Here is a 12,239-nt window from a genome sequence, read left to right on the forward strand (position 1 = left end):
TGTGAGCCATTGCTCTTGGCCCATTTTAACCATTTTAAACTATGCACTTCTTTACAAGGATTAAATATAATATAAATATGTGTTAATTAGCATAATACCTTAAGTGCATAAGGTACCTAAGTGCTTGATAAATGTACAAGTATGCAGATGTGTGTGGGTGGGGGTAAAGTATAGAGGAGATACCAAACCACTTAGAAAATAGTGTCAAATTGACTCCTCTAAACAGAGGCCAAGGTGGGATTAGATAGATACACAGGAGATTTATTGGAGAAAATGCCTGTGAAGGATAAAGTGGTAGGGAGCTGAAGTAGGAATTGTTTTCAGACCACAATATCAGCTTGACACATGTGAAAGGAGAGAGAGAAGGAAAGAAGATTGGGTAGGAAGAGTCTCAAATACTGCAGTTCTGAGCAAGTTTTGGCCAGGCTGATGGGAGTCCCTGAGCCAGAGTTGCCCATTAAAGGAATCCCCATCAGGCAGGAATGGCCTGATTTGAGTATCTCCACTGTGCCACCAGTCATTGGTGGGAGAGGCTGGAGGCTATTGGTCAGCTACACTCTCCACAAGAGGTTCTTCTAACAGGACACCTGAAAAGCACATCTCCATGCCCCTGCCCCATAACAGCATATCAAAAACCCATTACTCATTTACAGCATTTGCTGTGAGGATAAGAAACATTTCCATCATATATCTGTACAGTCTATAAAAAGTCTTATTTGAGAAAGTCTTCCTAAGTGTCTCAACAAACTTGGTCCCTATAAAAACTTCTTCCCCAAATACAGGCAAAATTTCATAAGGACTTGGCACTCTGCATCCCCATCTGAGGCAATCTTACCAAATGTTTTTCTAATTGTCCTCAGGAACCTGTTCCATTTTCCAGTTCCAGTTGCTGTGGAATTTGCCTTTCTACCTAGTTCCTGCTGGACGTGAAGCTGGGTATGCTTTATTGGCTCCCAGGTCTGACTTTTCCCCAGAATACTGTCATTGCTTCTGTATTTGTCTCATGTCCCCAAAGCCTCAGGCAGCCCTGCCCTGTTCTTGATCACAACTCTGGTTTCGAGGAGCCAAATCCACATCAGAGTCCCAAGGCCACATTGGTCTGGGGAAAACAAATATTTTCTCCTCATGGATAAAAAGAACAATGCGATTGATTTTACGTATTTGCTTTTTCCTTTGGCTGCAACTTTAACAGGTTAAAACTTTTTTTTTGTTTCATTTAAAAAATTCCCAAGATTACTATATAGACCTATGTAGAGTAATCAAAGCTTGCCATGGGTTTTTGGAAAATTTAACAAACTGGTTCAAAGTTTATCAGGTAGAATGAAAAAGGAGCAAGGGTCAAAACATTCCTGAAAAAGAAAAGCTACAGAGGGGTAAAGCTAGAGGACATTATGCTAAGTGAAATAAGCCAGGCACAGCAGGATAAATACTGCATGATTCCACTTATATTAGGTATCTAAAATAGTCAGACTCATAAGAAGCAGGGAGTAGAATGATAATTTTGTTTTGGGGCAGAGAGAAATGGGGAGTTGCTCTTCAATATGTATAAAGTTTCAGTTATGCAGGATGAATAAGTTCTAGAGATCTGCTGTGTAATATCGAGCCTATAGTTAACAATACTGTATTCTATGTACCCTTAGGAACTTGTTAAGGGGCAGATCTCATGTTAAGTGTTCTTGACGCTACAAAAAAAAAAAAGCATTCAATGGTTTAAAATTTATATAATATGTGTGTTATAAATGAATTCAAATTTTGACTCTCATTTTCTTTGATGACGGAAAATACTCAATCTTGCCTCATATTTTAGCTCAGTAAGTTTGGTTTAAAATGTAGTTCCTTGTAAGTAAATATCTGGTCCACCCTAAGATCTGAGAATACCCACCTTCTTGACAGGTATGTATGTGTCTGTGATCTAAGTTATCCTGGGGACAGAGCAGATGTCCTGGCATGGGGCAGCAGCCTCTTGTTCTTATGCCAGCCTATGTCTACATGAGAGTATAACTGGTTCTCACCTGCCCTGGTCTTGGGGTTCCTTTTGAACCCCACCCCAAACTTCCTTTTGTCCTCTGGTTCTCTCATCACTTTTTTTTAACCTCCGCTGGGAGCTCAGGAATTTTCAGTGCCTTCTGGAACTACTCAGGATTGTGAGACTCTGCCAAGCCCCTCTTAGGCCCATCTGCCTACATGCCTCCTTCATTGGGACTCTTCTACCACCCAGGCAGTGAGTTTCTCAGAATCTTGGCTGAACTCACTTAACTCTAGGCTTCCCTATGAGTTCTGCAGTCTCCTTGGCTGGGATTCCCTCAAAGCTCTCTGGGTGTTTCTATCATACTCTCTCCATCTGGGCTTTATTTAAGTCCAGGTGGGTGGCATGTATATAATGGAGCAGGTAAGGGAATGGTTCTAAAGTGAAAAGCCTATGCTTTATTTGGTTCCCTCCAAAATATCCTCTAACTGCTGTTCAAGCTCTCTCATTTCCTTTCTTCGCGGGGTAGGGGGGTGGCAAGGGCAGAAAAATCTCCATTATATGTTGTCATGCACTCCTTTCAACTCCAGTTTTATATAAATTATGCTTAGTCCTCCAAATTTGGCATTTTCTATTTAAATCTAGTGTGGAATGGTAAGAAAATGTTTTCTCTTTTAACAAATACTAAGTTTTGCAAATAAAAATGTTTTCAGCCTATTGTTTCAATCTGTTTAATAATTTATTTAGGAATTCAGTTGCCATGTTTTGTCTTAAGAGATAGCCATCTTCCCCTTCAAGACCAAATATATGAAATAATATCATTTATTTAAGTGTAATGTAGTGATGTGATGAATAGAAACTATAATTTAATAACAAAGCATTGCCCAATACAACACAGACAAATTTATGGTTTAGTTATACCAAATATTAAAACCTTATGATCAGATACTCTATGACCAATTCTTCCTCATAGTTTACGATTACTTTCCCTTTGGTCTATATATTTTCTCTAGGACTAATCTTTTTTACTTTTACTTAGATATTATTAGATAGAGTTCTATCTTTGGCAATAGCTGGCTAGGTTATTTTGGAGTAATCCTGGCACTGATAAGAATCACACAAAATGGACAAAATATAAAATAAACATCTGTTCAAAGACATCAGAAAGCCACTGAGGGAATGAGAATTTACAGGGCCAAGAATCCAAAAGAAGAAGAAAGTTTACAAAGGGGAGCCGGGCATTTCGTCTCCATTTCTTTCAAGGCAATTGCTAATTCTGAAAGTGAAAGGTATCTAAGTGCATGAGAAGTTGAGCAGAACTTTTGGCAAGATTCTTGAGCTAGGAAAAGCCCACAAAGGAGGAGTGACCCTGGAAAACACCTCAGCCTTTTGTTTGGGACTTTTAAAGGCTATGATCTAAGAGTAACAGTGAACCAGAAACAGACCAGCCCTTATAGCAGTGGTTCTCAATCATGGATAAACATGAGAATTACCTACAAAGATTAAAAAATTTATCAGTGCCCCATAGTTCAAAAAATCTCTACAAAATTATGCTGAGTGAAAAGAACCAAAAACAAAAAAAAAGGATACATATTACATGACTCCTTTTGTCTAACAATCGTGGAACAATTACAGGAATGGAGAACAGATCAGTGGTTGCTAGGGGTTAGAAAAGAAAGAGGATGGGTATGGCTATAAAGGAATAACACAGGGAGTGACGGTATAGTTGAGTATCTCATTTGTGGTGCTTTTTAGGGAGGATACAGATGTGAAAAAATTGCATAGAACTACACATACACACACACACACACACACATATGTACACAAGTCCATGTATAACTGGTAAAATCTGAATAGGCTCTATGGATTGTGCCAATGTTCGTTTTTTGGTTTTGACATTGTACTATAGTTGTGTGAAATGTTTGCATTCAGTGGGGTAAGCTTTAGGGAAGGGCTACGTGAGCTTTTCAGTGCATTTTTTGCAACCTCCTGTGAATCCATAATTATTTCAAAAAAATGTTTTTAAAAACTACTCCCCCACAAAAAATCAATGCTTCACTCCAGATCAGTTGAATCAGATCTCTGAAGTAGAGTCCAGGCACATGCATATTTTTGAAGCTTCCTGTGTGGTTCTAATGTGCAACCAGTATTGAGAACCACTGACTTACAGGGAATGAAGGCACTTTTAATAATTTCAATACTTGGATAGATTAATATTATCACTAGGCCCATTCCCTTCAGAGCAAAAGTAAATCCTCTGTGAAAGAAGATAACATCATTCAGGATCACAAATTATCTCTATGGTTTTTCATACTCAATATACATCAAGACAAGACTTCATACAAAACTAAGAATAAAAACAGATAATAGACACAGATCCACAGAAGATCCAGATACTGAAGTTATCAGCCAAAGATTTAAAAATAACCATAGTTAAAATAGCTATACAAACAGAAAAGCCACAAAGAAAAAAATTCAAAGCAGAAAAAAGTACAAAGAAAACCATGCCTATGCACGTGACGATAAAAGTACTAAAAATCAAAGAAAAAAAGTCTTAAAAGCAGCCACAGAATAAAAACTATAAAGAAACAGCCATAAGATTAAACTTATAGCTGAATTCCTAACAGAAATAGGAAAGTCAGAATAAATGCAGTGATATCTTCAAAATGCTAAAAGAAAATTACTACCGACCTAGAATTCTATGCCTGATGAAGATATCCCTCAAAAATGAAGTAAAATAAGAGCATTTTCAGACTACTATAAATTGACAGAATTTGTCACTAAAGGAAATATGAAAGAGTGTTCTCTAGCAAAAGGAAAACAAATCCAGATGAAACTTGGAAAAAGCAATGGATAGGGTAAATGCGTGGGTAAATCTACATGAATATTGCCTGTATATATTTTATTAAATATATTTTTGGTAGATGCTTCAAAATATTTGTTTATGTAACAACACTTCAAAAAAGTATTCTCATATAAGATATATCATCTTCATAATCTTTCTATGACAGGAAAGTCTGTGTATCATTTAGGAATGTGGGTTGCAAGTATTTGAAAACTAAATAAAGCTTGAAAATAGGGGTTCATTTTTCTAATATAACAAGAAATTAATGCAAATGCCAAATCTATGGTATTTGCAGTTGCCGAAAGTAATCAAGGACTCAGCCTTTTTCTTTCTGCTCCATCGTTCTTAGTTTGTTGGCTTTCAGTATTATGGTCAACAGATGGCTGTACATCCAGGCATCACAGTCTCATCCTAGGCAGGAAGAAAAGGGAAGAGCAAAAGGCTGCATCAGCTAATTTGTTCTCCATTTAGGGGGGAAACAATACTTTCCCAAAACCACATATCAAACTGCTACTCACATCCTCTTGGTCAGACTGTTTCACAGGGCACCCCAATTGCAAAAGAGGTTGGAGAATTGATTAAGAATTGATTGATTTATCTTTCCAGCCTCTAATGCACAGGAAGACAAAAGGGAATGGGGCAGGGAATTAATTTGAAGTAAGCCAGCCTACAGTACCTGCATGGGGGATAAGGTCAACTAGCTCACTAAACATTGACTCTACCCTCCTTTTAGTGCACCTTTTTGTACTGCAGAGGCTAGGGAGCTAAAAATTACTTTTCCCAACTAGGTTCCTGTGTGATTTAGCTTTTGCTAATCAGATGCACTTGTGCAAGAGTTGGGACCTGGAAGTGATAGGATGAAAGCGATTCTGCTATTTCTTTTGATTCTTTCTTCTGGCAGGCACAGTCAGGCAGAGAAGCACTGGCTTTTTCTGTGCCAGCATTTCAGTGGCAAGTCGCTAGCTTCATGGGTAGGGATGTGCCTGATGTAGAGCATGCACATCTAAGAGAGTCAGCATAGTTCTAGAGCTAGCAGTAGTGGCGGTGGTGGCCGGAGCTACCTGATCCCTGCTACATGCTTCTGAAACCAACAGTTCCAATGATGGTGGCAGAAATGACATCTCTGGTGGCTACTTCCGCAGGGTCATTCTAGGATTTATTTTTGAAGACCTAGCCTGGAGCTTGCTCCTACCTAAAATGTCGTAAATTTCTAATCCCGTGCATTAAATACCTTTGCTTAAAATATCTAGTTTATGTTTCTGCAGTTGACTCTGGCCTATATAATCTGCCTCAATTCATCTCTTTAGGTTCCCAATACCCCTACTCAATCTTTTAATCAAATATATACTTGGTTTAGAGGGAGTCATCCCTTCCCTCAGGTTAAACTCAATTCTTGCAATCAGCTTGAGTGATTTTTATTCCTGTCAAGTTCCTATATGGGCTCCCCATGGAGTCATGGAATTAATCTGTCTTCTACATTCTCGGTGTACAGTGTGTGGAGAATTAGAATGACTACACTATGAACATGACACACGGAGCTGTCAGTAGTCATGGCACATGCAGAATCCTGTTGGGCAGGAGTGGTGAGTACTCTATGCTGACAGTGGAGTCACTTCCTTGGTTGAGCCATCTGTCTGACAGTCCTGGTTCTGCCCTATGGGAGAATCTTCTCATTATCCCCCATAGCCACATCTTATTAATATTTGGGAGAGCATTCCATTCCTATACAGATTTTATAAACCATCTCCTTTTGAGGTGGATTTAGGAGCCTGAGGGCTGAGCAGTTAGTCACTGGCTGACAGCAAGCTAGGCCAGCATTTCTTTGCAGCTTCCACGACCTCGTTAGTAGGTTTCTAGTTAGTCGGATTCTTGCTGATCCCAGATATGAGTAACCATAGTTACTCATAGCTTAGGGACATAGTCTCTGTCCCTAAGCTTCATGGCCACTGTATGGAGCACTTTGAATCAATAGCCCTCTATGGAAAGATATCACCTTTAATCAATTTTTTCCCTAGGGACTGGCCTCTCTTTCTTCTCACTGGTAGAGAGCTTTTAAGGGAAAATGCTTGAGAAAGGCCTAAAGCCCCCACTACAAGGTTCTAAACTGTAACATTTGCAGGCAATTTAGAGTGTAGGCAGCAGGCAGAGACCACTTCTCTCAGCAAAACTATGTTTTCATTCATCTTTTCTACACTGGCTACTTCTAGGCCAAGTTCATCCCTTGCTAGGGTCTGAATATCCCCATCAAAACTCATAGTGAGACAGGGTGGAGAAAGATGGTTAAATAGAAGCCTTCACTGATCACCTCCCCAAGAGGAACACCAAATTGAACAACTATCTATACAAAAAAGCATTGTCGTAAGAACCAAAAATCAGGTGAGCAATCACGGTACCTGGTTTTAATTTTAAATAGCTGAAAGTTAACTTTACATAGCTGAAAGAGGCACTGAAGAGGGTAAGAAAGATAGTCTTGAATAGCTGATGCCACCCCCTCCCCCATTCAGCAGCGGCTGCACAGCATGGAGAATCTGTGTGCTTACAGGAGAGACAGCACAGCAATTGTGAGACCCTGCATTGAACTCAGTGCTGCCCTGTCACAGTGGAAAGCAAAACCAGGTTGAGGTCAGCCAACACTCATCCACAGAGGGAGCATTTGGACCAGCCCTGGCCAGAAGGGAATCACCCATCCCAGTGGTCAGAATTTGAGTTTCCACAAGCCTTGTCACTCCAGGCTGAATGAAGTCTCTGGGGTCCTAAATAAACATGAAAGGCTATCTAGGCCACAAGGACTGCAATTCCTAGTGCTGTTCTGGGCTTGGAGCCAGTGGGACTTGGGGGACATGTGACCCAGTGTGACACCAGCTGGGGTGGCTAAAAAAGTGCTCGTGCCACCTCTCCCCAACCCCAGGCAGCAAAGCTCACAGCAACAAAAGCAACTCCTTCTTCTTTCTACTTGAGAAGAGGAGAGGGAACAGTAAAGAGGACTTTGTCTTGAATCTTGGATATCAGCTCAGCCACAGTATAGCACACTGGGCAGAGTTGAGAGGCACCCATTCCAGGCCCTAGCTCCTGGACAACATATCTAGACACACACTGGGCCAGAAGGGAACCTGCTGCCTTGAAAGGAAGGACCTAGTCCTGGCAGGATTCATCACCTGCTGACCAAAGAAACCTTGGGCCCTGAAACCAGCAATGATACCCTAGTTGTACAGCATGGGCCTTGGGTGAGACCGAGATGTACCGGCTTCAGGTGAGACCCAGCACATTCCCAGCTGCATTAACTATGGTGAGAGGCTCCTTCTGCTTGAGAAAAGCAGAAGGAAAACTGAGGGGAACTTTGTCTTGCACTTTAGCTACTAGCTCAGCCACAGGGACGTACAGCACCAACAGGGCTCTTAGAGTTCCCAGTTCCAGGACTTGTCTCTTGGATGGCATTTCTGGATCTGCTGTGGAGCAGAGGGGAGCCCACTGCTCCGAAGGGTGAGTCACAGGCCTGGTAGCATTCACCACAAGCTGACTGAAGAGTCCTTGAGCCTTAAGGAAATATTGGTGGTAGTCTGGTAGTACTCCCCATGGGCCTATGGTGGTGGTGGTCATGGAGTGGGGCTCCTCTTCCTTTGGAAAGGGGTAGGAAGAGTGGGAAGGACTGCATCTTTTGGTTTGAGTACCAGCTCAGCTGCAAACAATGGAACACCGACAGACTTCTAAGGTTTTTGTCTCTAGTCCCTGACACCTCTATGGTACCTATGGATTTCCCTGGGGCAACTCACCACCTTGAAGGGAAGGACACAGGCCTGGCTGGTTTTGCCATCTGCTGATTGTAGAGCCCCAAGGCCTTGAGTGAATATAGGCGGTAGGGAGGCAGTGGTTACAGAGGGCCTCGGACAAGATTCAATACTATGCTGGCTTCTAGTCTGACCAAGCACAGTCTCAGCAGTGGTGGCCACAGTGGTGCTTGTATCACTGCACCATCAGCTCCAGGTGGCTTACCACAGAGAGAGACCCTCCCTTTGTTTGAGAGAAAGTAAAGGAAGAGAACAAGAGTCGCTGCCTGGTTATCCAGAGAATTCTTCCAGATCTTACCCAAGACCACAAAGCTGATATTTCCACAAGTCTGCATGAACCACAGTGTCACTGGGTTTGGGGGTGCCCCCAATGCAGATACAACATAGATCACAACATTCAAGTCCTTTTGAATACATGGAAAGCCTTCCCAAGAAGGACAGGTACAAACAAGCCCAGACTGCGAAGACAAAACAAATACCTAACTCTTCAAACATACACTGACAGACATCCACAAGCATCAAGATCATCCAGGAAAACATGACCTCACCAAATGAACAAAATAAGGTACCAGGGACCAATCATGGAGAAACAGGGACATGTGACTTTTCAGACAGAGAATTCAAAATAGCTATTTTGGGGAAACTCAAAGAAATTCAAGATAACATAGAGAAGGAATTCATAATTCTGTCAGGTAAATTTAACAAAGAGATTGAAATAATTAAAAAGAATTGAGCAAATTTTGGAGCTAAAATATGCAATAGGCATACTGAAGAACGCATCAGAATCTTTTAATAGCAGAATTGATGAGGAAGAAGAATTAGTGAGCTTGAAGATGGGTTATTTGAAAATACACAATCAGAGGAGACAAAAGAAAAAAGAATAAAAAACAATGAAGCATGCCTACAGGATCTAGTAAATAGTCTCAAAAGGGAAAATCTAAGAGTTATTGGCCTTAAAGAGGAGGCAGAGAAAGAGATACAGATAGAAAGTTTATTCAAATGGATAATAACAGAGAACTTTCTAAACCTAGAGAAAGATATAAATATCCAAGTACAAGAAGCTTATAGAACACCAAGCAGATTTAAGAACCTCAAGGCACCCAAAGATCAAAGATAAATAAGGGATCCCAAAAGCAGCAAGAGAAAAGAAACAAAAAACATACAGAATATTACAACACTGTAATTGTGTTGGGTAAATTATTCATATTATGAGTAGAAAGACTAAAAGATGAACCAATCAAAAACAATAACTATAACAACTTTTTAAGACATAGATGCTGCACTAAGATATAAATAGAAACAACAAAAGTTAAAAAGCAGAGAAATGAAGTTATAGTTTTTATTAGTTTTCTCTTTGCTTGTGTTTTTTATGCAATCAGTGTTAAATTGTCATCAGTTTAAAATAATGGATTATAAGATAGTATTTGCAAGCCTCATGGTAACCTCAAAAAAATATACAACTGATACTCAAGAAATAAAAAGCAAGATAGTAAATAATACCACCACAGAAAATCACCTTCACTAAAAGGAAGACAGGAAGGAGGGAAAAAAGGATGAGAAGACCACAAAACAACCAGAAAACAAATAGCAAAATGTCAGAAGCAAGTCCTTACTTATCAGTAGTAACATTGAATGTAAATGGGCTATACTCTTCAATAAAAAGACATAGGGTGGCTGAATGGATAAAAAAAGCAAAACCCACTAATCTATTACCTACAAGAAACACATTTCATCTATAAAGATGCACATAGACTGAAAATAAAGGGATAGAAAAAGATATTTCATGCCAATGGAAACCAAAAGAGAGCAGGAATAGCTATATCAGACAAAATGTCATATTTAAAATATCATATTATGATATTTATCACATTATATTTATCATAATATGATATTTATATCAGACAAAGTAGATTTCAAGACAAAAGCTATAAAAAGAGACAAAGGGCTGGGCGCAGTGGCTCACATCTGTAATCCCAGCACTTCGGGAGGCCAAGGCGGGTGGATCAAGGTCAAGAGATGGAGATCAGCCTGGCCAACATGGTGAAAACCCATCTCTACTAAATATACAAAAATTAGCTGGGCACGGTGGCATGCGCCTGTAGTCCCAGCTACTTGGAATGCTAAGGCAGGAAAATCGCTTGAACCCAGGAGGCGGAGGTTGCAGTGAGCCAAGATTGTGCCACTGCACTCCAGCCTGGGTGACAGAGTGAGACTCCATCTCAAAAAAAAAAAAAAGAACAGGCAAAGAAGGTCATTATATAATGATAAAGGGGTTAATTCAGCAAGAGGATATAACCATTGTAAATATATATGCACCCAACACTGCAGCATCCAGATATATAAAGCAAATATTACTAGAGTTAAAGAGAGAGATTAACCCTAATACAATGATAGCCGGAGACTTCAACACACCACTTTCAGCATTGGACAGATCTTCCAGACAGAAAATTAACAAAGAAATATTGAATTTAATCTACACTATAGACCAAATAAACCTAGTAGATACTTACAGAACATTTCATCCAACAGCTGCAGAATACGTATTCTTCTCCCCAGCATGTGGATCATTTTCAAGGATAGGCCATATGTTAGGTCACAAAACAAGTCTTAAAACATTCAAAAAATTGAAATAGTAAGAAACGCCCTTTTTGCTGTAGGCCCAAGTGGTTGCTGCTGAAATGGGCAAGTTCATGAAACCTGGGAAGGTGTCGCTTGTCCTGGCTGGACACTACTCTGGACGCAAAGCCATCATCATGAAGAACATTGATGATGGCACCTCAGATCGCCCCTACAGCCACCTCTGGTGGCTGGAATTGACTGCTACCCCCGCAAAGTGATAGCTGTCATGGGCAAGAAGAAGATCGCCAAGAGGTCAAAGATCAAGTCTTTTGTGAGAGTTTATAACTATAATCACCTAATGCCCACAAGGTACTCTGTGGATATCCCCTTGAACAAAACTGTCATCAGTAAGGATGTCTTCAGAGATCCTGCTCTTAAACGCAAGGCCTGACGAGAGGTCAAGGTCAAGTTTGAAGAGAGATACAAGATAGGCAAGAACAAGTGGTTCTTCCAGAAGCTGCGGTTTTAGATGCTTTGTTTTGGTCATTAAAAATTAAAAAATAAGAAAAAGAAATAGTAACAAGCATTTTCTCTGATCACAATGCAATAAAACTAAAAATCAATAATAATAGGAATTTTGGAAACTATACAATCACATGGAAATTAAACAATGTGCTCCTGAATAACCAGTGAGTCAATGAAAAAATTAAGAAGGAAATTTTAAAAATGTCTTAAAACAAGTGAAAATGGAAATGCAAAATACCAAAACCAATGGGGTACAGCAAAAGCAGTACTAGCAGGGAAGTTTATAGCTATAAGTGATTACACCAAAAACAAAGAAAAACTTCAAATAACAATGCATCATAAAGAACTAGAAAAGAAAGAGCAAACCAAACTCAAAATTGTAGAAGAAATAATACAGATCAAGGCCATAGAAATAAATGAAATGAACATAACAATACAAATAACTAATGGAAGGAAAAGCTGTTTTTTACAAAACATAAACAAAATTGACAAACCCTTAGGCAGACTAAGAAAAAGAGAGAGAAGACCCAAATAAATAAAATCAGAGATGAAAAAGCAG

The 12,239-nt window shown here is 39.8% G+C and overlaps 1 protein-coding gene and 1 pseudogene across 5 annotated transcripts in view; one reads left to right on the forward strand and one right to left on the reverse strand.

The window, feature by feature from the left end:
* WDPCP (WD repeat containing planar cell polarity effector) overlaps positions 1-12,239 on the reverse strand; it is a 721,268-nt gene that overhangs the window by 553,473 nt on the left and 155,556 nt on the right. Inside the window, exon 3 of one of the 5 annotated variants that reach the window (XM_047444626.1) lies at positions 836-5,222. The exons of the other annotated variants lie outside the window; for them this stretch is intronic. The gene's annotated coding sequence lies outside the window, so the exon portion shown is untranslated. The remainder of the gene's footprint in view (positions 1-835; positions 5,223-12,239) is intronic. 5 annotated transcript variants of the gene reach the window in all.
* RPL27P6 (ribosomal protein L27 pseudogene 6) lies at positions 11,240-11,715 on the forward strand (annotated as a pseudogene).

This window comes from Homo sapiens, chromosome 2 (genome assembly GCF_000001405.40).
Source record: "Homo sapiens chromosome 2, GRCh38.p14 Primary Assembly".
Classification (NCBI taxonomy): Eukaryota; Metazoa; Chordata; class Mammalia; order Primates; family Hominidae; genus Homo; species Homo sapiens.